We start from the raw sequence: 27,120 nt of genomic DNA, 5'->3' as shown, positions 1-27,120 counted from the left end.
TATGGCCTGAATTCATGAATCTTTTCCTTTGCTTATTTTAAAACTGCCGTGGAAGGTCAAGGGTAAAGGGTGAACTACTAAGTGTTTTCCTCTAAAACTTTTTATTTTTTTAAAATGGTAATTGAGACAGAAGAGGTGGAAATCCCTTTATATAATCTTCCCTTCTAGTTTATTCTCAACTCAGGATCCTGAAGTGAGAGCCAGCTACAGGAGATGTCAAAATAATGAAGGTGATGAACCTTCAGCTCAGCTCTTAAAGTGTCAAAAGATTGTTGAGAATTTAATTCCAGGGCATAAAAGGATTCCCAGAATTAAAATTCAAGATAGCAGTATATCCATCAAGACTCCAAGATAGGGAACATTTAAATTATTCCTGAAATATAGCAATGTATTCTTTATTTCAAACAATTTCAATGGATCAATGTTGATTTGAAAATCTGGGTGAAACAATGCTCATTTTATGTCAGAAACAGAAGAATTCTGAGAATTAAGGTTTTTCCTACCTTTCTGATAAGATCTGAGAGTTCCATTTCAGCTTTCTGCTGTGCCAAGTCAGATTTCACTTCAGAGTAAGTATCATTGATGATAGCCAAAAACATATTCTGTTTGTAAATGAAAGGAGGGCAAAAATTAAAGGAAGAAACATAATTTGGAATTATCAATCAAAAAAATGACACATGCCTTTTTGTTTATCCTTTTTTTCCTAATCTGAGTGCTTTATGAAGACATAAATTTATTATTTATTTATTTAAAAAAAAATTTTTTTTTTTGAGACAGAGTCTCACTGTGTTGCCCAGGCTGGAGTGCAGGGGCGCGACCTCAGCTTACTGCAACCTCTGCCTCCTGGGTTCAAGCAATTCTTGAGTCTCAGCCTCCTGAGTAGCTGGGATTACAGGCATGTGCCACTACACCTGGCTAACTGTTGTATTTTTAGTAGAGACAGTGTTTCACCACGTTGGCCAGGCTGGTCTCGAACTCCTGGCCTCAAGTGATCTGCCCGCCTCGGCTTCCCAAAGTGCTGGGATTGCAAGCGTGAGCCACTGTGCCCAGCCTGATGTAATAAATTAACAGTTTTGCTGCCACATGTTTTGGGAAGATTATTTTCTCCGTTAAGTCATGCCACAGGAAAAATTTTATGATATACTTTGTGAAAACATACAAGAATAAAATACAACAAAATATTAGTATATTTACCTACTAATGGTGCGATTATTTTATTTAATATTATTTTTGCTTATCTATGTTCTCTATATTTAGAAACTTTTACATACACTACTGAAGGGTATAGAATTCCAAAAAGCTCTTCAAATTTCAACAGTTAACACAGATAAGTAGAATTGTATGCTTATTCCAAGTTTTTTTGTATAATCATATATGAAATTTACAGGACACATTTTTAAAGAGTTTAAAAGGCTGTTGCAAATAGGAATACAGCAGGCCTACTAGGCAGATAGTAAAGAAAAAGTTTCTGGAAGAGAGATAGACTTTGGAGTCAAGCAAACTTGGATTTCAGTCCTAGCACTGCTAAGATTGTTGCTCCACTTTTCTAAGTCTAATTTTAAAGAATTATTTAATTGTTTTACATTAATAAAATGGGAAAAATAATAGTATCTCCCTTACATATTTGTTGGGCTGGTTAGTGAGACAATCTATGTAAAGTGCTCAGGACAGGTCCTGATGCAGGTAAGTGCCACCTAATTGATAGCTACTATTACTATTCAGTAATGGTGAGTTCATTTTTCTGACCTTTCCCTTCCACAGTAGTAATGGTTTGCATTTCCAACAACAAACTTTCTCGAAGCACTGTATCCAGGAGATCAGGTTCCCCCCCACCAACTTTTTTTTTACTTTGTTTTTCCTTTTTAACACATAACTGTGGTTTGCAAGTATTTCTATTTGATAATGTCTGTTTTCCCCACAAGTCTGAGGAATCTTCGTAAGGGCCTAATCAGGCTGTTTTCCTTACCCCAGTACTGGCAGTATCTAACATACTACCTCATAGTACACAATCCACAAAAAACACTACAGTGTGTATTATACAGTATATATGATATATATATATATATGGATATAGTGGCTTAGTAAATACTTATTAAATGATTGAGAAATGAACAAATGAGAACGCTCTTATTTTAGTGGGCTATGAATTTCTGTATTAAGGAAGAATATTGTTTACAATTCTGTAGCAGAAATGAGAATAGAATATAGAATACATATAAGTTTTTGACTAAATGCTCAATTCCAAGTGCAGATAATTGCAGTCCAAGTAACACCTTCTACCTTCTCTCTTCCAACTCAGGGATCTAATGTTCTATTTTTGCTTCCAAGTGGCTGTTAACTAATGCCTGCCAATACCTTAATTGAAACAGATCAAAGTCTGGGACCTCTAAAGAGATTTCAAAAAATAGAAAGTGCTTGAGAAAGGCTCTTGAAGGTGTGGGAAGAGGAAGCTAGCTCACCCTCCTCTCCATCCTGTCTCCCGAGGTTCCCTGAATTATCAGATGGACATCTGCACCAGGATGTCTTTCCTGTTGATGTGGGGGAAGAGTGGGGTTATCCTGGTTCAGCTGAGCCACTTCTTAACACTGTGCCTTCTTGCTAAACAGGGGCAATAAACTAATACCAGGCAATCGGCTCAGAAAGGTGGCCAACCCTATGCTCAGCTTGTCATTTCCTTAAAAGACAGGTTTGTATTGAAAGTAGACTTCTATCTATGTATGTGTCTATGTATGTATGTATGTATGTATGTATGTATGTATGTACGTATGTATGTATCTATCCACCTATATCTCTGGGAGGTGCAAGGAGAGCAATTCTTTTTTGTGCAGTCGTACAAAAAAACAATTTTAGTATAAAGATAGAAACTAAGAGCTTCTTTTCATGTTCTGGTGACTGATCTGGTAAGATGACTGAATACTCTAGATCTGGTAAGATGGCTGCCTACTAAAGGACCACATTCAAACAATTCCACATTTGAGCCTTTCCAGTTGCCACGACTCTATCCATCCTTGTTTGGCAGATTGATAAACGGAGAAAACTAGGTGGCCTGAGATCAACTGAAGGGTCAGGTGCAGGACTCTCAATTCCTGGTTTTTGCCTTCTTAGTAGAGATTCAGGTACTCTAGAATCCGAAGTACTATCAATGGTAGAGTAACAGAGGCTTATTCTTCTCTCCATTGTTTTAATATATGATAGGAAGAAGAAGCTTAAGAGGTGTAAGTTTAAAAATGAGCCATAAACCATGCATACAGCAAGATACATATGAACTTGAATGATATTCCTGACCTTTTCAGTCCTGTTAAAGTACAGCTAGGGAACACACCTTTGTTTTACACCAGAGGCTGTGTCTCCCCGGAAAAAAAATTTTTTTTAAACAGGAAATTAATACAGTACATCTAATACCCAATCAATAAATACCATATACTTAACCAGTAATACCTGGACTGACTTTAGAGTTATTACACTGAATTACTGAAAATGTGATCACTTAACCTTCCTCAAGGGATCTTTACACAATTTACTGAAATGGAAAAAATGTTATTTTCTTAAGAAAATTGTTCTTAAGATGACTGTTAGTGTTTAGATGAAAAATATTGCCTAAATTAAGCTGGCTTAACACCTTCTCAGTAGACAATTGAATATATAAATGTTAAGAAAAAGAACAAAACACCTTAAAAAAACTTAATTGACTTAGGGCAAAAACATTAAAAATGTTCATTTGTACCAAATCAAGAGAATAAAAAAATTATTTTTGAAAATAATTTTAATGCAATTTCCATTCATTGTTACATTTAGTTTTAAACTTAATTATTTGAATATTCTCTGTAGGCAGTCTCTAGATGAATGGGATATAAATAATTTAAAACAGAATATCCTAATTTTGACATGCAATGATTCACTCAACTATTACTCGACATCTTAGATCTAGCTTGCTTTTCCGTTCTTATTTTTTAAAAAGAAAAGAAGAAAGAGAGAAAAGTCATGCTAGCAAGTGACTACGAAAGTGCTGACATATGAGTTTAAAAAGCATGTAAGCATATTCTACTTTTTAGGCAAAGCACTATTTTAGGTATCTTTATAAATTTGTACTTGATCTAATTTCTTTTTTGCATGGAATAGATACATATATAGAGAGAGAAATGAAAGACCATGGAAGAGATCTAATTTTTTTTGCATTGAATAGACACATATACATGGATCAATGAAAGACCACAGAAAAGACATTTGATATGAGTCTCAAAACTGTGAATTAATAAAAGGAAAATAAGTTTTCCAACATCCACACTTTTTTCTACTTCCTGGGTCTTTATTTAAAATTGATAGGACATAAAGTGTGAGAGAAAAGAGAAGACAAGGATTTACGAAGTTTAAATTGAACCTCACTATAAATAAAAATGTACATACCAAAAGAATGAAGAACATAAAGAACACAAATGTAGTGAAATAAATTGGTCCCAAAACTCGATTAGCTTCCTCAATCTCTGCAAAGTTGATATCGCCCAAAATGATACGGAATTGAGTGAAGCTATAAAAATAAAACAAAACACCACAATACAAAAACAAAGAATGTCCACTAGTTGATGCAACATTTCTTAAAGATGATTTCATTATTTTTGGACCTTTTAGCAGTATAGGTAGCTGCCGAATAACAGAAAATTGTCAATCCCATTTACAAAGTCTTGCTACTTGTATCAGCAATTAAAGCCTTCTGCAATAATAATAAAATGCTTTCATGCTACAGAGGTTATTTCCATTTGGTTAAAAAGAAAACACAAGCTGGGCACGGTGGATCACGTCTGTAATCCCAGCACTTTGGGAGGCCGAGGCGGGCGGATCACGAGGTCAGGAGTTCGAGAACAGCCTGGCCAATATAGTGAAACCCCGTCTCTACTAAAAATACAAAAATTAGCTGGGCTTGGTGGCGTGCGCCCATAATCTCAGCTATTCGGGAGGCTGAGGCAGGAGAATCGCTTGAACCCGGGAGGCAGAGGTTGCAGTGAGCTGAGATTACACCGCTGCACTCTAGCTTGGGCGATGGAACGAGACTCCATCTCAAAAAAAAAAAAAAAAAGAAAATACAATTATTATTCAATAACTTATAAAGCAATTGGCTATAACATTTCAACACATAATCTAGGTAAAACATCTTAACCCTAAACCTTGACAACAGTCACCCTCGGTCTAAAGTTAAAAATTTCTTTAAAAAAAAAACAACAGGGCCTGGTGTGGTGGCTCATGCCTGTAATCCCAGTACTTTTGGAAGCTGAGGTGAGAGGACAGTGTGAGGCCCTGGAGTTCAATACCACCCTGGGCTACACAGTGAGATCCCTTCTCATAAAAAAAGTTAAAAATTGGCCAGGCATGGTGGCATACACTTGTAGTCCCAGCTACTCAGCAGGCTGAGGCAGCAGGATTGCTTGAGCCTAGGAGTTCAAGGCTGCAGTGAGCTATGATTGCACCACTGCACTCCAGCCTGGGCAACAGAGCAAGACCGTGCCTCAAAAACAAAACAAAACAAAAAAAAACAAAACAAAAAAACCCCAAAAACCCAAAATGGTTTGAGTTCAAAGATCCAATATTCTGACAAGTACTTAAAATGGGATCAAAGTGGCCAAGTGTTGTCAGTGCTGGGTCTTAGCAAAATCACTTTTATCAACAGCAATATTAATTCGAGATATCTATGCACAAAACCCTATTACTTCCATTCCTTTTTAAACTAACTCCTTTCTAAATGGCATAGAAATCTGACACTGGCTGCTTTTTGTTGTTTTATTTCACATTTGGGATCTTTGGAAAAAAAAACTGAAAATTCTTGTACTGGTCTGAGTTTACCTTAGAATATTAGAAATATCTTGTTTTTTTCCTTAGAAAATAACTTGAAGTTCTAAATATATGGCAACAATATTCAACAGGAGTAAGAATATAGGCAAACAGCCTTCTAGAAGCTACCATCTGCATTTGGTGCAAAGAAAAACTCAGTCTTCAGAACAGTGTTGGTTTCCTATGTCTGTTAACTGTATTTTACTACTTTGGGCTGCTATCTTAAGCATCAGCATTTCAGGATGCATTGTCTTCTTTGCATGGGTAGATCAATGTTTTGGGAAAAGGTAATTAATTCTTACTTAAAATAACTGGTTTTAAATAATTGGTGGTCATATAGCAACCTCATATGAAGATTTATTCTTGAGAAGCAGTGACAACTCTGATTAAATTTTTCTTCTTAATTTCATATATACTTACATACACTCTTGGAAAGTACTGAAGTCATCGACCTGAGTGCCAAAGACAAGGTATGCCAACTGAGCATACGCTAGGAAAATAATGAAGAACATAATAGCAAAGCCAAACAGGTCTTTGGCACATCGAGACATGGTTGTCGAGAGCTGGCTCATGGTCCTGTTAAAATTGATGAATTTGAAGAGCTGTAAGAGAGAGAAGACATCAATAGATGAATGGATAAACAAAATGGTGTGACTGTATATAATAAAACATTATTTCATCCTGAAAAGAAATTAAATTCTGACAGGTTACAACATGGATGAACCTTGAAAACATCATGCAAAGTGAAATAAGCCTGACACAAAAGGACAAATACTGTATGATTCCACTTAAATTAGGTACTTAGAATAGTCAAACTCACAGTGACAGAAAGTAGAATGGAGGTTACCAGGGACTGGGGGAATTGGGAGTTAGTGTTCAATGGATACAAAGTTTCAGTTTAGAATAATGAAAAAGTTCTGAAAATAATGCAGCATAATGGCGATGGCTGCACAACACTGTGAATGTACTTAATGCCACTGAATTGTACACTTAAGCATGGTTAAAACAGTAGGTTTTATGCTATCTACAATTAAAAAAAAAAAAAAAAAGGCTGAGTGCAGTGGCTCACATCTATAATCCCGGCACTTTGGAAGACTGAGGCAGGAGGATCGCTTGAGCCCATGAGTTTAAGATCAGCCTGGGCAATATGGCAAGATTCTGTTTCATTAGAAAATAAAAATAAATTAGTCAGGTGTGGTGGCACACACCTGTGGTTTCAGCTACTCAGGAGGCTGAGGTGGGAGGGTTGCTTGAGCCTGGGAGGTCGAGGCTGCCGTGAACTGTGACTAGTGATGCTTTCCCCCCAAAAAGGATTAAAGTAAAAGGGAGGGAAAAAACTTCACACAAATAAAAATTAATTATAAAACCCCCCAGGAAATTCTTGTTGCATAATATTAACTGTCATTTATTGTGCATCAGTTATATGTGGAGGGCTTTATGTACATTGCCTCAAATCTCTGCAATGTCTGAAATATTGGCATTCTATCCCCAGGAGTCAGCTGGGGCCTGCAGCCAGCTGCCCTGCCTGAACTGCAAAGCCTGCTCTGCCTGACTGCAAAGAAATATTGAGCATGTTGGTAGATAGTGAACCCTGCTGGTAGACAGTGAACCCTGCAAAGCCATATTGAGCATGTTGGTAGATAAGGCACTGAGGATGGCTGCCCAGATTGTGTAGCTCTAAGTAGAAGCCTCAGTGGAAGAGCACATGATGAGATATTAGAAGTAGAGTCATGAGGCCGGGCGTGGTGGCTCAAGCCTGTAATCCCAGCACTTTGGGAGGCCGAGGTGGGTGGATCACGAGGTCAGGAGATCGAGACCATCCTGGCTAACACGGTGAAACCCCGTCTCTACTAAAAATATAAAAAATTAGCCGGGCGTGGTGGCAGCCGCCTGTAGTCCCAGCTACTCGGGAGGCTGAGGCAGGAGAATGGCGTGAACCCAGGAGACGGAGGTTGCAGTGAGCTAAGATTGTGCCACTGCACTCCAGCCTGGGCGACAGAGCAAGACTCCGTCCCAAAAAAAAAAAAAAAAAAAAAAGTAGAGTCATGATCCCTGCCTTAAAGACCTTAATGATAAAGTATCGAGGGGCAAGACATTTCCAAGAGAAGCACTAAATAAAACACATCAGCCTGAGACACATGTTGTAGGAAAATCTCTAGAAGTTTAAAGGTCTGTTACACATTGTTACTGGCCACAGTGAAATATTTCTTGAGGATTGCTGTAATCACATTACTTAATCATTACTTAATACAATCCCAATTCATTTGAGATCTTTTTTTTTTTTTTTTGAGACGAAGTGCTGCTCTGTTGCCCAGGCTGGAGTGCAGTGGCATGATTCAGCTCACCGCAACCTCTGCTTCCTGGGTTCAAGCAATTCTCCTGCCTCAGATTCCCAAGTAGCTGGGATCATAGGCACGTGCCACCACACCCAGCTAATTTTTTTTTTTTGTATTTTTAGTAGGGACAGGGTTTCACCATGTTGGCCAGGCTGGTCTCAAACCCGACGTCAGGTGATCTGCCCGCCTCAGCCTCCCAAAGTGCGTGAGCCACTGTGCCCAGCTGAGATCTTGATTATTATTACTATCTTGATTATTATTACTATCTTGATTATTATTATTAAACTAATAATAATCAAGGAAACTTCAGTAATTCTCAGGCAGCACCTGCCATCCTTTCACCAGCACAGGCTCTGACTGTGCTATCCAAACATGTGTGGATATCTAAATTCAAATTTAAATTAAGTAAGATTAAATACAATTAAAAATTCAGTCCCTTGGTCCTACTAGCCACATGTTAAGTGTTCCATGCCTATACATGGTTAGTGGCTACTGTCTAGGACAATGAAAATATAGAACATTTCCATCACCACAGAACATTCTTATTACTATTATTATTTTTGCTGTTTGATTATTATTACTATGTTATGATCAAGGTTTTGTGCTTTAGTGATGGTTTCTCTTGAACAAGCATGTCAATAAATAAATAGCATGAGAAATACAGGATAAAGTCTATGCATTTTTTTTTTTTTTTTGAGACAGGGTCTCACTCTGTTGCCCAGGCTGGAGTGCAGCGGTGCGATCTTGGCTCACTGCACCCTCCGCCTTCTGGATTCAAGCAATCCTCCCGCCTAAGCCTCCTAAGTAGCTAGGACTACAGGCACGTGCCACCACCCCCAGCTAATTTTTGTATTTTTAGTAGAGATGAGGTTTTGCCATGTTGCCCAGGCTGGTATCAGACTCCTGGGCTCAGGGGACCTATCTCGGCCTCCCAAAATGCTGGAATTACAGGCATGAGCCACTGCGCCTGGTCCAAGTCTATGTCTTGTGATAAACCTCAGGTCTTCTAGGTATGAATACCAACTCAGAAAAGTACATAACGGGTAAGTACCTTCCAGAACAGTGCTTTTCAAGAGAACGTTCTGTGATGATGGAAATGTTCTACATTTCCACTGTCCTAGACAGTAGCCATTGAACACTTAATGTGTGGCCAGTAGGACCAAGGAACTGCGTTTTTAATTGTATTTAAGCTTAACTAATTTAAATTTGAATTTAAATAGGCACATGTGGCTAGTACTTACTGTCTGGACAGCACAATCAGAGCCTGTGCTGGTGACCGAATGGCAGCTGCTGCCTGAGAATTATTGAAATTTCCTGCATCTCCAGAATTGAGGCTTGTTGTATATGAAATGTCATAACCTTTCACACACATGGAAATGCACATTATATCTTGGGACAATAAGGAAAATAGTGAGCAAGGAACTATTTGGAAGCAGTGTCTGTTCCAACCTTAATTCTAGGTAAAGCTTCCCTTACAGCCTCTACCTGGAAAAGAGGCGATCCCTTCTAGCAAGCATTTCCAAGTGCAGCAACTCTCCCCTTCCCTCCACCTGCTCCTTCCCTCTCTTTCTCTAAGTTCCTTTTCCTTCACCTGTTCATCTCATCTGTTAGCAGCCTGGGGCCCCAGGCCCAGCTAACACACTGAAAGGCCTCTTACTGCATTTGTTAAACAAAACCTATAGGGACTGATCTTGCACTAATTCAGATAGCAGAAGTATGTCATTGACAGTGAGAGGAATGATCACATGAGTCTCAATAGTTTACTTTATATGTAAAATATGAGGCCTGGCACGGTGGCTCATGCCTGTAATCCCAGCACTTTGGGAGGCTGAGGTGGGAGGATTGCTTGAACCCAGGAGTTCAAAACCAGCCTGGGCAACATAATGAGACCTTGTCTCTACGAAAAAATTTAAAAATTAGCCGGGTATGGTGGCACATGCCTGTAGTCCCAGTGACTTCGGAGGATAAGGTGGGAGGATCGCTTGGGCCTGGGAAGTCGAGGCTGCAATGAGCTGTAATCATACCACTGCACTCCAGCCTGGGTGACAGAGTGAGACCCTGTCTCAAAGTAAATATTGAGCAGCTTTGGCTGGTCACTTGAATTTCAAATTCAAGTATTCCATGATTTTGTGGAACTCATTTTTTTTAAAGAAAATATTATTTAAAATGTAGAACATGAAATTTATAAATTACCTTAATCCAGACAAAAAATACTGTGACAGCAGCTATATTGTTGAACTGTATCTGCCAATATGCCAGATGCTCAAAGTTGGGGAAAGTATTTTGATCTTCCAGAAACTGTAGTAGCACCTCCACATTTGATGTTCTGTATATGTTAATTCCTATAGCTACCACTGACAGCTGAAAAGCAAAATATTTATATTTTATTACAGTGTTTTAGAAATATGAAACTTACCTTAATATGACTAGTATATTTTTCTTCACCAATGTATTAATTATAAGGGCTCACCATTATACTTACCCGATGTCATTCTTAAAAGTCACTCACTCAAATGGAAAGTGTTAAGCCCTGCCATAAAATAAGTAAAACAGTATATTGCTTGCATTTCCTTAGTTCGGAATAGAAACTCAACGAAGGCATGCATGCATGTGTGTGCACATATACATTACACACACATACATGCATACACAGAAGAGATCACACTATAACAGACTCAAACTCAAAGAGGAATGCTTTCTGTTTTTTCTGCCACCTTCATTTTAATCACTTTCCACCCTTTTGCTTTCTTGCCTTCATCCTGCTGTTTTTATTTGTGATTTTTAAATTTAAAATTTTTCGGTTTCTCTGCATTCTCCAATTGCCAGCCATTCTTTGCTCTGTTTAACAAAAATATAGTAGATGTCTATGTATACAGCACTGTGCAAGGGCTAAGAGGAATAAACAGAAGTAAACTGCATAAATCCTGCCCTCGAGACTCAAGAGCAGATAAACACATGAAGTTAAATAATACAAAAAACTACTAAAGAGTTGGTATCACACAACATAAAGTCAAGAGGGACAAAAGATATCCTAAAAATGAGTGCCCATGAGAACAAAGCATGAGCTTGGGCTTGAAAGACAGTGGGAATGATGAATACAGAGGGCTCAAGAAGGCCTGCAGTGGGAATATATGAGCCAAGGGCTTCTCTCTTGCTCATTTCTGTCCCTTAACTCATGACCCTACAACTTTCCACATATGCTTTGGTTCTAAGCTTTACAATCAGATCCAAGGGGACACTGCCCCCTCCTTGGCATCCATCACCACTAAATGTAGACAGTGCTAGGGGTTAGTCATAACAACCTGGCCCCACCAGGGGGTCTGAATCTGCAGCAGGTGGGCTGTGGCAGGTGCTGCGATCTTTGCTGTCCATTCTCTCTTCTTAGGAATCATGGCCAGAGACCACTTCATTAGCCCTCCCTTCCTGAGATGACCATAGAGATCATGGTCCCACTGATTCTCATAGCAAAGACCAGCTTGGTTGCTGATCACAGCTAAAAAGCCAACCTCACCATCTTCCTTTCCTTCCTTCTCTGTGAAGGATTTCCAGAGCCAATCTTGTATTTTTGTGTTGGTGGTGGGAATGATGAACACAGCAGACTCAAGAAGGCCTGCAGTGGGAATAGGCTTCTCCTGAGATGAGGAGCTCATCTCAGCTAATACATGTAGAAAAACATTTGGGTTGGTGGACTGGATCCAATGGTAACTCTTTACCCAACTCTCAATAGGTATAATTTGTTATGCAGTCCAGTTGTTTTTACTCTGCACAGGACAAATGTTTATAAAATAATGAAGAAGATGGTCATTTATACAACATCAATGTCTTTGAAACCTTTCCTTCCAAATAGGGAATGAAAGATGAGGAAAGAGATTTTGTGAGCATTTGCATTGTTACATCACTCCTGAGTTTTCTGTGGGATTCTCATCCCTATCTACAAAAGAACTTTCTCTCCATACCAGAAAATTGGGAGGGCAGAGATTTGGGTGATTTTGTTCATTCCTGTATCCCCAGTGCCTAGAACAGTGGCAAGTACATAGTAGGTGCTCAGAAAACACTCGCTGAATAAATGAATTAGTCGGGCCAGGCGCGGTGGTTCACGCCTGTAATCCCAGCACTTTGGGAGGCTGAGGTGGGCGGATCACGAGGTCAGGAGATCGAGACCATCCTGGCTAACTCGGTGAAACCCTGTCTCTACTAAAAATACAAAAAATTAGCTGGGCATGGTGGCAGGCACCTGTAGTCCCAGCTACTCAGGAGGCTGAGGAGGGAGAATGGCGTGAACCCGGGAGGCAGAGCTTGCAGTGAGCCGAGATGGTGCCACTGTACTCCAGTCTGGGTGACAGAGCAAGACTCCATCTCAAAAAAAAAAAAAAAAAAAAAAATTTACCCTGTACAACCTAGCAAGTGGTCAATAAATTATTTGAGTTTAAATTCCTTAATAGTCTTCTTTTTTTCAAGTAATTCTTCTAGTTTTGAAAGACTATTGCTCAGGACAAATGGCTGACTGATGCAGCCTGTGTACTTCAGAACATATGTTGGGGAAAGAAAAAAGGAAAATAAAGAAAATTTCAAAGTGATTTCAAGATGTGATTGTATTTATATTAAGAATATAATTTCTTTTCAGGTTTTGGGTAAGCATAAGCAAATTTTGGCTAGATAAAACAAAAAGCGTTGGGTCTTTCCACTGGTTTGAAGGTCCAGTGGAGCACAGGGTGTGTTTTGTGGGTGAGCAGAAGGCATGCCCTCACTTCTACACTTGGTCAGCAAAAGTTTCAAAGGACAAGTGAGATTCCAGTAGCCCTTCCTTGTTCTTTATAAACAAAAAGCACACTGTCTGAATTGTTGTCTGGCAGTATTAAGTGTTGTTTAAAAAAAAAATTGAAAAACACAGTGAAGCAAGTTTTCAAAGAAACACTTGCAAAATGCTGTGGCTGTTGAGCCAAAGAGACAATTTCCATGATATCATTGCCTTTCTTCCTATTGGTCGCCAAAGCAGGTGCAAGGCAATTCACTGGGCTATGGGAAGAAAATGTTACAACTTCTAGGTAGGTGGTAAGAAAGTTTTGGAATTCTATTTGTATTAACTTTTATTCCAATCTTTAAAATTCTATGTATGTGTATGTTTTACGGATGTACCTGTTACACCAAAGTAGGCACACAATTTACAAATAAAGATAATAAATTAGGGTGTGTAGTAGTCAAAGCTTTCACTGATAGGTGTGTATGATCAAAAAGGGTGAATACCACTGACTAGTCTTTTGTTGATATTGAGTTCTTTGGTTAAAATATAAAAAGGAAGTCTGTTCTTAATTAGCATATCATACTTACCTTTCTACCATTATTTCAATGGCCTAAACATAAATAAATCCATATAAGCCAAGAGGCAGGGTTTGCATCCTTTTAGCTCCAAACAATAATTGTGTTCTGGAATAATTGTCAATGTATATGGCCTGCACTCTGCCATCAATCCGAACAGAAATATTCTGAAAAATTATTTCCAGTATTATCGTCTCTCCTGTTTCCTTAAATGCTAAAATTCTTGTGTAACTCTGTTCATTATTAATACATTGAGAATTTGGGGATCAAGGGTTTACCTTGATTTGTGTGATGTTGTATGGCCATCGTAAAAGACGGGATGCACTTCTAACTGCATCACGGTCTGATGGGGTCAACACCATCTATTCTACAGGAATTTTTACTTTAAGTAAAAACTCTAAAGTGCACATATCCATGGCTTGAGAGGCAGTGGCAGAGTAGTGAAGAGGGTTAGTATGAGGAACAAATGAGCTTCTGTACCATGAAAAGCACCCGGAAATGCCTAACACAGAAGCTTCTAAAGTGTTAGCCATTATTATTATTACTATTACAATTATTATTGCTGCTAATATAGTTATTGCCATGCAATATATGGCCATGTAGTTCTTTTTTATGCTTTAAGTGTTCTTTCACTCACATATGAATAATATATTTTCCATATTTTATCAACTATTAATAATTCTAGTGGGGAATAGTTTAATAATGACTTGATCTAAATACTCCACAAAGGCCAAATGAATTTTTAGGAGTGGGATGAGGGAAAGAATAACTCTCATAAGGAGGGCTAACAGAAGAGAGAATGCTAATAGGGTAGTGCATCATTTACTGAGATTTCAGAAGGTAATGGCTATCATAGGACAGTGGGAAGGAAAGACATAGAATAATACATGGTACACCTATGCCAAGCAAAGCTTGTAAGCATCTAATAATTAAGCATGTTGTTATATGCTTAAATGTACAACTGGACTTAGCGAAATGTTACCTGTTATTGCTGAAGGGAGAAAAGCTTGTAAAAATTCTTTTATACACTGAAACCACAGGAAGGAAGTGACGGATGCTTAATTAAGTGATAAGGATGAAGGGAAAACATCTTGAAAAAAATCTTAGAAGTTATAATAGAGTCAAGAGCAGACACAGAATTTACATGGTGTCATGGTCTTGATTATGACTCTGCCTTTGATTTATTTTTTATTTTTATTTTTTAGAGATGGGGTCTCACTATGTTGCCCAGGCTGGTATCAAACTCCTGATCTCAAGTGATCCTCCCACCTCAGTTCCCTAAAGTGCAGGGATTATAGGTATGAGCCACTGTGCATGGCCTGCCTTTGATTTCTTATACCTCATACAGAAAACTTTGATGAATATAACTTACATTTGTACTCTGCAGACTATTTGCAGAAAATTTTAAACTGCAGAAAGTTTTCTCTGCCGCACAAAATATTTTCAGGATGATTTTTCTTTTTTCTTTTCTTTTTGAGGCAAGGTCTCACTCTGTCACCCAGGCTGCAGTGCAGTGGTGCATTTATAGCTCACTGCAGCCTCAGCCTCCTGGGCTCAAATGATCCTCCCACTTCGGCCTCTGGAATAGCTGAGACTACAGGTGTGTGCCACCATGCCTGACTAATTAAATTTTTTTTTTTTTGTAAAGACAGGGTCTCACTATGTTACCCTGGCTGGGCTTGAACTCTGGGGCTTAAGTGATCCTCCTGCCTTGGCCTCCCCAAGTGCTGGGATTACAGGCATGAGCTACCACACCTGGCCGACAAGTTTTTTTATTGCTGTAACTTCACACATGTGCAGGAAAATATAAATTGATTTTTACCAGCAGTTGAAGAAAAATATCATTAGTGGAAAAAAAAACAAAGAAAAAAAACTGTTTTCTCCTCCACATCTCATACGGCATACTAAAGCCAAATATGAATTACTGAGATACTCTTGTTATTAGCGTGGCTGAGAGCATACTGTAAATACCTCTCCACTTCATACTCAGCAAAGTTACTCATGCAAAATGAGAAAATAATTAGTAACAGAAGTTGATATAATTGAGGGGGACTTTTAGATTCTTTTTTGGGAATATCAAGATCCACAATGCTGAGGAGATCAAAGACTCTAGTTAACATGCTTGTAGAATAGAATAGGAAATTTGGTGTTGTTCTCAAACCTACCACAACGATCACAACATCCAGACAATTCCAGAAACTCCTGAAATAGTGTAGTTTGTGAATGCGAATTTCCAATATCTCTTCCACCACATAGTAAAAGATAAAGAAACAAAAGATAATCTCACAGGCTGCCAGGAAGAAATCAAAAGTTGTGACATATCGGATCAGCTTTAAAGGCTGAAATTGCCAAGATGGAATCACACCACCTGTTGCTGGGAATTCAACCAATAACCTGCATGTAAATAAGAACAATTAAAACAATAACAACAACAACACATGAATACAGCCAGGAATGGATGTCCATCTGTTCTGTTCATGCATTACAAGGTAATGAAACTGCTACCATGAGTCCCCCCAAACTAGCGGCAAAACATTTTTATCATAGCTAATAATTCCATACTTGGAGAATTTTGTGCCATCAAAGGAATAAGACTTCCTGAGGTCTTTCAGTCCCAAAGGAGTACTTCCTGCTCAGTCTTCCCTACACTTTTCTATATTTACGCTGCTCAACATGCCATATACTTTTAATGTAAAAGTAAATCAACACACAAACTTTTCTAGGACTTCTGTTATTATTTTTTTAAGAGACAGGGACTCGCTTTGTTGCCCAGGCTGGAGTGCAGTGTTGCAATCATAGCTCACTGCTGCCTCAAATTCCAGGGCTCAAGGGATTCTCCTGCCTTAGCCTCCTGAGTAGCTGGGAATGTAAGTGTGCAGCACCATGCCCAACTAATTTTTTTTTTTTTGGCAGAGACTGAGTCTTGCCCTTTTGCCCAGGTTGGTCTCAAACTCCTGGGCTCAAATGATCCTCCTGCCTGGGCCTTTCAGAGTGCTGGAATTACAGGAAGGAGCCACCATGCCTGGCCCTAGGACTTCTATTAAATTCAAGTCCTTCTACTAGGCAACATGAAGAATATAAAGAAATATAAACCATCCACTCAAAACATGTGTAATCTGGTTGAGAAGTAGGATATATTTTGTACATATATAAAGATAGGAACTGAGTCATTCATTCATTATGTAACACCTAAATAGCATCAAATAGTTTGTCCTCCAGGGTAGTTTTCTCTCTTCTTCCCAGAGCCTTATAGTTAATAGGTGGGTACTCAATAGATGTCTGATTGTCTAAAACATACACTATTTTACATCCATACTGATGGCTCTGATCTTTACTGCTTTACCATAACTGGACTGAGGGTTTTTTTCTTGTCAAATGCCCATTTTGTAGGTGTCACACTGAGAAAGCTGGGTGATTCAGTTAATGATACAGACTTCTTTTCTAACTAGAAATAGAATCTCTAGCTGCTTCATTTTGAGACATTTAAAAGCCCTTTAGTCAGCTACTAGCCATCACTATCTCTGCCATTACAGGACAGGTAGCCGCACCTGGAACCTGAGCATACAGGACACATGCATGAGCAATAATCAAGTAAAAACAGGACTATGGTAAATTAGAACTGGTCAGAGAAGTGTGAAAATTTTCCTTCCTTTTCATTGTCAGTTCTCCTGTTCTTTCTTTCCTATTTGATGTGTTAGAGAGTAGGGGTGAGAATCAAAAACTCAGGAGAGCAACTCTGAAGCCAAGAGCCTTGTATGTGACAGCTTCATTGGGAACTCAAAAGGGAAGGAAGTGGCCTTCAAGTGTCAAGTCATTTCTCTGGCCCATTCTGGCCCTGCAGTAGTCAACCACTTCCAGAAACTTAGAAAAACAGTATAGAGAAATGAAGCAGTTGTCTTAACAATGTTCATCCTTAAAGTAAGGGAGGAAGCAGAAGAAATACTCAAGACCTTCTATAAATAGAATTTACTAAAATATCAGAGTTGCCTCTCTGTTTTTATTCTCTTCCTTTTTATTCTTTTCTTTTTATCTGCACTGGAATAATTAGGAAAAACTCAATAATACTGCAATAGATTTTCATTCATTTCTAGTGATAACTACTACTGGACTACTGGTTGAGTATTTCTTTTCTTTCTTTCTTTTTTTTTGGCCACTGTGAGCAAGGACAGCTTGAGTATTTCTAATGTGAAAATCTGAAATATAAAATGCTTCAAAATCCCAAACTTTCTGAGCACCGCCATGAACGCACAAGTGGAAAATTCCACACCCGACTTCATGTGACAGGTCATTGTCAACATGCTGGCACACAACAGTTGATTCAACATCCCTAAGGGAAAAATAAAATTTCCTTCAGGCTATGTGCATTAAGTTTCATTTATGAAACATAAATGAATTTTGTGTTTAGACTTGGGTCCCATCCCCAAGATATCTCATTATATATATGCAGACATTCCAAAACCTGAAAAATTTCTTAAATCTCAAACATTCTGGTCTTAAGCATTTTGGATAAGGGATAATCTATAATTGATTTAATGTGGTACTATTTTCTGCAAATGTTGTTAAATACAAGGACTGGGACAATCCAACAAGCCACATAAAGCAGAATTGAACTTAACCTCAAGAATGATGACAAAGACTATTATGAGAATAAACACTTCTTATCTTATGTGTAAATATACATGCAATAATCCATGTTAGTGATGTTTGGGTGTTGCTGACATGCTCACCAGGAAGATTAAAGTGGGTGAACTCTGACTTCCTCTTGCTCTGCTTTTTCTTTCTTTTTAATAGTACCTATTACCTTCTAATATACTATACTATTTATTTGTATTGTTTAATGTTTATTCTCTAGTCTCCTCCTGGTTGGATGCAAGCTCTGCCAAGGTGCGGATCTTTATTTTGTTTGCTGACATGTCCCAAGAGCCGAGAACAATGCCTAGCCCATATTAAGTGTCCAATGAATGTTTGCTGAATAAATGAATGAAGAAGAGTCCCAGACAAGCCAGTGGAATCTTTGTCATTTTTGTTACTATCTCACAGAGGGGTCATCATGGCAACATCCCAGGATCTGTGGAAGGAACTTTACGTGCCTTTGGTAGCCCTGAGCACGAGCAGGTAACCTGGGTATCCTACTGAGCATCCTACAAGCACTCCGGTTACTGTGCTTGTGTGCTAATAGCAGAGGCTCATCTGAGAGTGAGAAACTCCAGGAAATGAGTCAAGATTTGATGGCCGGGGGACTTGGTGATGGAACATGTGGCACTAACCATCCTTATAATGGGTAAAGACAGATGTTAGAAAAACACAATACTTTTTCTGGAAAGGTTCCAGCATTGAGATGAACTTGGACCAGAGTTATGGTTCTTTCCAACTCGTAATATTCTAGGATCCCAACTCCCTTCCTCAAATATCCTTTATTTCGGTAAGCCTTCAGTTTTTACCCCTCCCTTGCTATCCGTCTGGGTCCTTGGCATCCTCATGTAGCTAACTGCAGGCAAAGGTTTTTCTGGCTAACCCCAGAATAGGATGTATGTACAACCACACAGAAATAGGAGGGATGCATGTCCTCAGTACACACCTGACCACACAGAACAGGTTAATGTTGGCGTTGTACACTGAGAAGTCAATAAAAGTTGCCCTGGTTCCTCGGTCCAGCCAGACATTTTTCTTGAGGCTAGCAACTTGTGCAGCTGTTTCCTCTCTTGTTCTTGACAAATCCAGATAATAGCCAGCTCCACTATAAGTTGCAATGATTCCCCAGTGGCTACTACCATTCAAGTCTTTTTCACTTGTGTAGATCCAACTGATTAAAAACAAAACCAAAAAACAAACAGTTACAATCAGTGGAACACTTGAGGCAATTACAAGGACAGCTGGTTCCTTGTAAAATAAAGTATGTATTAAGGCCTATCAAGCTGGGTACTGTGCCTGACCTGGCAGTTCATGTTTTCTTGGTTAATTCTCATACTGTTATTAGCCTCTTTAGGAATGAGGGCCCTGAGGCTTAGTGAGGTCAATGTAGTCCCAAAGCTTTTGAGGGCAGACTCGGGAACCAATGCCAGGGCTGTTTGTCCCTAGAGCCTCTGCTCTGCTCTAGAGCCTCTGCTCAGTTTATACGGCTGCCTTCTCTGGGTAACTGTGCTCAGGGACTAGACGACTTGAGGTCCCCAGAGAAAATTACAGCCAAAAGAGGGACAAGTTCATCAAGTGGCATTGTCAGCATTTGGGAATTTCATCCACAAATATTCAGAGGATCTCTTAGAAAACAGATGCTTCTTCAGCACTAATGGGGATATAAAGGTCCTTTCCCTCCCAAATTTATAACAAGTAGGGAAATAAGAGTTATAATTAAACAAGTAAAATACAAGGTGGATAATAATAAGAAGCAAAAGAGAAAAGAAATAAGGCTGGCAGATCAGAGGAAAGCTGTCCTTATTTGGGGATCTGGCAGTGGAGGGATGGATTAGAAAAGGCTTTAGGAAGAAGCTGTGTTGGACCTGAACCATGAAAGGTGAGTAGGATCTGGACTTGCACAGGTGAATGGTCATATGGGTTGGCTGTGTCCCCAACCAAACTCATCTTGAATTGTAACTCCCACAATTCCCATGTTTTGTTGGAGAAACCCGGTAGGAGGTAATTGAATCATGGGGGCAGGTCTTTCCCATGCTGGTCTCATGATAGTGAGTAAGTCTCACGAGATCTGATGGTTTTATAAGTGGGATTTTCCCTGCACAAGCTCTCTCTCTTTGCCTGCTGCCATCCACGTAAGACGTGACTTGCTCCTCGCCTTCCACCATGATTGTGAGGCCTCCCCAGCCATGTGGAACTGTAAGTCCATTAAACCTCTTTCTTTGGTAAATTGCCCAGTCTCAGGTATGTCTTTATCAGCAGCATGAGACCAGACTAATACAAATGGGAAGGGCATTTTCAACCGTGAGCCATTGGTCAAGAGAAGAAGTAGTTCAGTTTGGCTCCCATAAGATAAAGAATGGCAGATTGAAAGGTGGTCTGTGGTCAGCTTGTGAAGGGCAAACATGAAGGAGTCTGTGAAGGGAAAGTTCTAAGAGGCACACAACAGGGCTGGTCTGGTGGCAGCAGGGAAGACTGGAGTGGGGAGGAACAGAGGGCTCATGTGCAGAAAAGAGTTAACACAGCAGGCCTGAGATGGCCTTTCTTTAGGAAGGCCTGTTTGCAAGGTTGGACTTTGGCTGGCATCTGGGAACTTGACTGATAAACAGCTCCCTGCACCAGTATTCAACTTTCCCTGACCGGTAAGAGAGGCTTGCTGTGCCTGTGCTATTTGTATAAGCAATGTGGCTTACACTCAACACCTGCTTTCCTTCTGAGAGTCGGGAATTTTGGCACATGCTAGTCATAAACCAGTACCAGTACCCAGTGAACACCCCAGGCACTGAGTCTCTAATTAATCTCTCTGATAGACATTTCACACATGTTGCTACAACTCGTTCCTGGAGAAATTCAGCACATCCTATGTGACCTCACTGGGAGAGGGCTCCTGGAAGCCTACACCAGGTTTTCCCCAGATATTGCCATGTGCCTTTTCTTTTGTATCCTTTCACCATAATAAACCTTAGCTGTAAGGATGCCTCTATGCTGAGTCCTTCTAGTGAATCACTGAACCTGGGGGTGGTCTTAGGGACCCCTGACACAGCTCCCTTAGCAAAGTCTGCAATAACCAAGAGGTAATGAGGCCTGAAGTCACTCAGTGAAGATGGGAAGGGAAAGGAAGGAGTGAGAGAGTGTCGTAACCACAGTGACTGCCAGCAGAACTTGGTAACTGATTTGGAAGTTGGGGCAAGGAGGAAACATGGCTCAAAAATGACTCTGGAGTCTCTTTCAGGGCAATAGGAAGACGGCAGTGCCATTAACAGAACAAAGAGCAGATCTCATAAGAAAACGATGAGTTTAGTTTGGGGCATATTAAATCACAAGAGGTGTGGGACATCCAGGTGGAATAGAGATGTGTCTTGTATCACTAGAATGCAAGCTCTGTGAAGAAAGGACGTTTCTTCTGTTTCCTGCTGCTTTGTTTCTCCAGCATCAAGGGCACTACTAGAAGAGGGGGGACTTCTAGCAATGGGAACATGCCTGGCACATTGTTGAAGAAATGATGAGTCACCAAATAAAGATGTCAGTGGAAGCCATCTGAATGTCATGGGAAAGAGAGAAAAGAAAGAAAAGACGGAGATATGAATATAGAACCTGGGAATAAGAGAAGTGAGAGAAAGGGGTTTCAGAGTTAAAAGAACCCAAAGTGTAGAGTTCTTCATGGAAGTCAAAAGAATGAGCGGTCAACACTGCCACTTTCTGCAGACAGTATGAAGGGGATAAAAACTGAGATTTGTTCAGTGGATTTGCTAACTAGAGGTCCCTAGTAGCTTCCTGGTGAGATGTCAAAAGCAAGAACCTAAGCTTTAAGACGTGAATTGATGGTAAGGAAATGGAAGTGGCAAATGAAGACTATTCTTCCAAGAAGTTTGGAGTTGAAGGGAAGAAGAAATGGGAGTGACTTGAGAATGTAGAAGAATAAAAGGATAGTTTAGATATGACAGGGAAGGTCCCCTTTGGCAATCCACCCTGGAGTAGAAATCACTCGAATGCATCCAGCACATATTTATTAGTATCTTTACATATGAGGCATTGTTCAAGGCTTTGAGAATACAGCAGTTAACAAAATAGAATCCCTGCCCTCAGGAAGCTTGAGTACTGATGGGGAGCTGAGAGCGTCGACAAGCCACCCTAACGACGCAATTAATATGGAGGAGGAATTAATATGGAAGAGGTTTAGTAGGCGAAACATGGGTTTTGGAGTCAGGCTGCTTAAATCTTGGTTCAGTCCAATTTGTTAGCTGTGACACTTTGGGCAAGTGAGCCTCAGTTTTTTCATCTATAAAATGGAGGTGATACCTATTTTAGAGTTGTTTTGTGAAGGCAGATGAGATAATGCGTGAAATAACTTCTTAAATAATGTCTGGCACAGAGCAGTGGCTGTATAAATTTATCTTATTAGTGATGTGAGATAAATAAAATATTGGAAAGGGTACCACAGATGAAGGCATGCTTATGCTTTGCAGGAACTACAAAAAGGCACATTAGAAAGCAAAATAAAGCTGGGCATGGTGGCATATTCTCATAGTCCCAGCTACTTGGGAGGCTGAGGCTGGAGGACTGCTTGAGCCCAGGAGTTTGAGGCCAGCCTGGGCAACATCAAGAAACTCTATCTGTAATAATTTTTTTTTTAAAGAAAGCGAAATCACTATCATAACTTGGATGATAATGTCCTTTGAGACTATTTAGTTCCTTTGTTCTAAAGCTCTGGATTTTCACTAAATTTGTTTTTTTTTTTTTTTGAGGGGGAGTCTTGCTCTGTTGCCCAGGCTGGAGTGCAATGATGAGACCTCAGCTCACTGCAACCCCCACCACTCGGGCTCAAGCAATTCTCCTGCCTCAGCCTCCCGAATAGCTGTGACTATAGGCACATGTCACCACACCCAGCTAATTTTTGTATTTTTAGTAGAGTCAGGGTTTCACCATGTTGGCTAGGCTGGTCTTGAACTCCTGACCTCAAGTGATCTGTCCGCCTTGGCTTTCCAAAGTGCTGGGATTACAGGCATGAGAAACTGTGCCCAACCTGGATTTTTACTAAATTTGTTTCTTATGGGTTCTGGTATTAAATAGAGTGTATACTGGAAGGTACAAGAAGAATATACTAATTGAAAAGGTGATTGCCCATTGTATAGTAACAAATGTGGATTCTGGGCAACTCAGTTTCCAAGAAAAGAACCTAGATGAACCGACAGAATTAGCTGAGCAAAGCTTAGAAGATGACTCCGACCAGTGACGTACCCAGGGACAGCAACCGCAAAGGCCCACCCTGAAACGGCCTTGGAGGTCTTCTTGTTTCTTTATAATAACTACAATACTTCTAAAATAGTAAGTGACCTCCCTTAATACACAAGATGTTTGAAGTAGGAGTACCAAAGTGTACAAAAAGCCCCTGTAAATATGCACGTGTACAAATATATACCTAAAATCTCAAACATTTGAACAAAATGGGCTTTAAACCTAACAAAAAATTGCCTCACAAGCTTACACATTAAATAACTCCATTCTGAACAAAAACCTGTTTGCAAGACCTATAAAAAGAGTTCCTGAACCAGAAAACTTGTGTTAAATAACTTAGTGGATGATGTTACTGCACCTGTAAAAACAGGGCCCAGGGCATCTTAAATGAAATTTTCAAACGCTCAGATAATTAATTTTTGAGGGGTTATATGGTCAACGATTTAGTCTTCTGAAAAATATGCATGTAGAAACTAAAAGAAGGCTAAGAAGTAGTGAAAACTTAAGAAGTCAAAGGTCAAGTTGGCCAAGGTTTAAATATAAGCACTGAAGAGTCACTGAACTTATTTTTGCCTTGGTGAAGGTGTCAGGGAATGAATGAATGAATGGTGGGAGTTCAGAGAATAAATGAATGAATATCACCGAGTGGCAATGAGTCACAGACACTTACGCGGTTCCATTTCGGGGCCCAAAGGGAGCCCTATCTTCACTACTGACAGAGTAGACATCATAGCACTCTTTAATTTCATCTCTCAAGTCCTGGGGGATAGAGCAGGATCCATTTCTGACTCGGAGTTGCCGTATTCGTGGAACCCCTAACAGCAGGTTCTCATAGAAGATGAAACTTCGGTTGTCAGCTTCAGTCTGGTTGCTGGGCTGCATCTTCCAGTACAGCCCATCCAATAAGGAGCCTTCTGTGAACTAAAAGCAAAGGAAACATCTCTGAAAAAGTTCCAAGCTCAGCCGCTGTCTTGCCCCTGCCTGCATCGTTTGCATAACCAAGCATTTGGCAACTCTATGAAAATAGTAGAGTGATAAGAATGAGTTTTGTTGTCAGAGAGATTTGGGATAGCATCTTGCCCCATCATTTGTTAGCTATGAGGCCTTGAGCAGGGTCCTCTGAACCAAGGTTCTTGCATCTGGAAAACCCATCTTTTGCATAGTTACTGCACCTGGCACAGAGTGGGTACTTAATACGTGGCAGCTCTGATTTTTGTTCTTGGACTAAAGGTGGGGTCATGATTAACTGCACTTTCCCTTATTAAAATAATGTCCCACACAATCATGGTTCTAAACTTTGTTTAGAGAAAAGGCTACAGTTTTGATTACCAGCCTGGCATTTGATAGACCTTTCACCTGTCTGGACTATTTTGCTGTATGGTGAACTCTCCAATCCCTCCTCGTCCCTTTAGTGATTGGCATTTATCATCATGGAATGTGTATACAAAAGTCTCTTGTTAGTTTGTACAACTAGCTATGCCTGTAGGGAAGACAGATCTATTTCTCAGTGTGCTATCCTTGTCAGATGATCAACAGAGATAGACTGATTTGCCCTACTCAGATGGTGAAAGATTCATATTATACAAGTGTGGTTTTGGATGCCAGGTACTTTTATATATGAATAGTTTCCTGTGACTCAGTTGTCTCTATCCTTAAAATCAACAGCTCTGACCCCAGGGTGTAGTAAGAATTTTAGAAACTATCTCCCCAAGGAGAAATAATAATTTCCTTTTCAATTTCCCTTCCAATTTTCTTAGATTCCAAGCCCCATATCCCTCAGATCAGTTTAATATTTTTCCTGTGGTATCACTCATTGGTATACTGTTAACTACGTTGGAATTTGTGACAACTTGGGAAGGGGCTGGATTGGGTTGAACTTCACAACAGCAGACCTTTTTTGTTTGTTTTTGGGTTTTTTTTTGGGGGGGATTTTTTTTGAGAAAGGGTCTCACTCTGTTGCCCCAGCTGGAATGCAGTAGCATGGCCATGGCTCACTGCAGCCTTGACCTCAAGCAATCGCTCAAGTGATTCTCCCACCTCAGCCTCCTGAGTAGCTGGGACTGCAGGTGTGTACCACCACACCCTGCTAATTCTTTAACTTTTTTGGAGAGACAAAGTCATACTATGTTGTGCCCAGCTGGTTTCAAAATCCTGGGCTAAAGCAATCCTCCTGCCTTGGCCTCCCAAAGTGCTGGGATTACAGGCGTGAGCCACCAAGCCCCACCAACAGCAGACCTTTGAAAGAATGTGCTTACTTTGAATCAAGCACTGTTCTAAGAGCTGGGGATACATGCCATCATCAACAAAGAGACAAAACACAAAAGGCGAAGCAAGACAGAAGAACCACACTGCCCTTCATTGGCCTTACATTCTAGGAGATTCTCAATAAATATTTATTGAATCTTGACTCATGGAATGAATTACAAACTAGGATGAAGTAGCTGTCAGGCTAGAAAAAAATCAATTTTTCTTGTTCCCTAGCCATGTGACCATACGCATTTAAACATCCTGAATCTCATTTTCCTCATTAACAAACTAGGGCATAGTCTTAGTACTTACCTTATAGAGTTAGACTATAGAAATTAAATAAGGTAAGATATGAAACACTCAGCACAGTGCAAGGCACAGGCAAAGTTCTCAATGTTAGTTTACCCCCTTTGAGAGTAGGAACAGTAACTTCTAACAACTCACCATAACTTACGTCTCACACAGTGTTAAATGCAAAGCAGGTCCTGTCGATACTCATGCATTGAAATGATGAAGCCAAATGAACAATTTTCTGTGATAGAGAGGTACTTTCAAAGTTATTTGCAAATACCTTCCAGAAGTCTTCCATGGAAGACAGAGTTTTAAAGTTAGTTTTCTCCGTTTTGGACACGGGGGTGTCTAGGAAGAGCTGTGACATCATCCGGGTGTAGTAGTACACATTGGAGCTCATCATGCCGTAGGTCACTGGAACACAGAAAGATCCAAATGAACGCCCCAAGGGAACCGGCACACATTCACATACCAGCAGCCTTCACAAAGGGATTGTTCCTGTGGATAAACATTTTGGACAAATTCACACAAGGTCTTCTCTCACCCTTGCCTTCCTTTCCCCTATCATTCTTCTAGGGTATCTCTCTATATCTCTGGCTTATAAAAGAAATACGTAATATTAATATTGGCTTATGGGAAACAAAATTGGCTTACTATTGAGTATCAATGTAAGATCAGGAACGTTTACTTGATATTTAGGACTACCAACATGCCTACTCGATTTCATCTTCCACCACCTCTCGGCTCAGATCCTCCCTGCCAGTGAGGCTGATCTGCACAGGCCCCAACACAGCTATATGCTGGGCTCCCCACCCTCCTGCTGTGCACACCAGCCTACTCTCCCTGCAATAACATGGGCAAGCCATTGTTTGTTTCCTCCAGATCAATTCTCCATTCTTCTCTGCCCTGTTCTGTGCCCTGAGGCTAATCTTTACGAACTGTACCACCTGGAATCCTTTGCCCTTTGGGGATACCGAGGTCAGAGTTTGTTACCCCACCCCTATTCTCCATTCCCTCACCACCTGGATGCAGTTTGGCAGTGGAGACTCTAACCTTGGCCATGGCTGCTGAGGGAATCCCTTTTCTCACAACCACACTGGGTTCACACTGTGCCACTCCCTCCCCCAATCCCCTAAAGCCTGGAGGTAGTAACTTTTTGAGTGCATCACTTCCCCTTGTTGGTTCTCTTAACCCCACCACATCTCTGTAAATAGTCCCTTCATTAAACTTCCCTTAATCACCACTT

General features: G+C 40.0%; 1 protein-coding gene across 5 annotated transcripts in view; it reads right to left on the bottom strand.

The window, feature by feature from the left end:
* Window positions 1-27,120, bottom strand: part of PKD2 (polycystin 2, transient receptor potential cation channel) — a 70,143-nt gene that overhangs the window by 15,270 nt on the left and 27,753 nt on the right. For 2 of the 5 annotated variants that reach the window (NM_000297.4, XM_011532029.2), the window contains exons 3-10: window positions 26,155-26,288; window positions 24,007-24,257; window positions 19,051-19,275; window positions 15,638-15,866; window positions 10,350-10,517; window positions 6,241-6,422; window positions 4,405-4,525; window positions 504-602 (exon numbers count right to left, since the gene is read on the bottom strand). In NM_000297.4, coding sequence (NP_000288.1) covers window positions 504-602; window positions 4,405-4,525; window positions 6,241-6,422; window positions 10,350-10,517; window positions 15,638-15,866; window positions 19,051-19,275; window positions 24,007-24,257; window positions 26,155-26,288 — 1,409 coding nt within the window. Of the gene's footprint in view, window positions 1-503; window positions 603-4,404; window positions 4,526-6,240; window positions 6,423-10,349; window positions 10,518-15,637; window positions 15,867-19,050; window positions 19,276-24,006; window positions 24,258-26,027; window positions 26,290-27,120 lie in introns of those variants that run through there. The other 3 variants (XM_011532030.3, NR_156488.2, NM_001440544.1) reach the window with 3 other exon arrangements.

This window comes from Homo sapiens, chromosome 4 (genome assembly GCF_000001405.40).
Source record: "Homo sapiens chromosome 4, GRCh38.p14 Primary Assembly".
Classification (NCBI taxonomy): Eukaryota; Metazoa; Chordata; class Mammalia; order Primates; family Hominidae; genus Homo; species Homo sapiens.
Note: the sequence above shows the minus strand (reverse complement) of the source record. Positions and strands in the feature narration are given on the sequence as shown.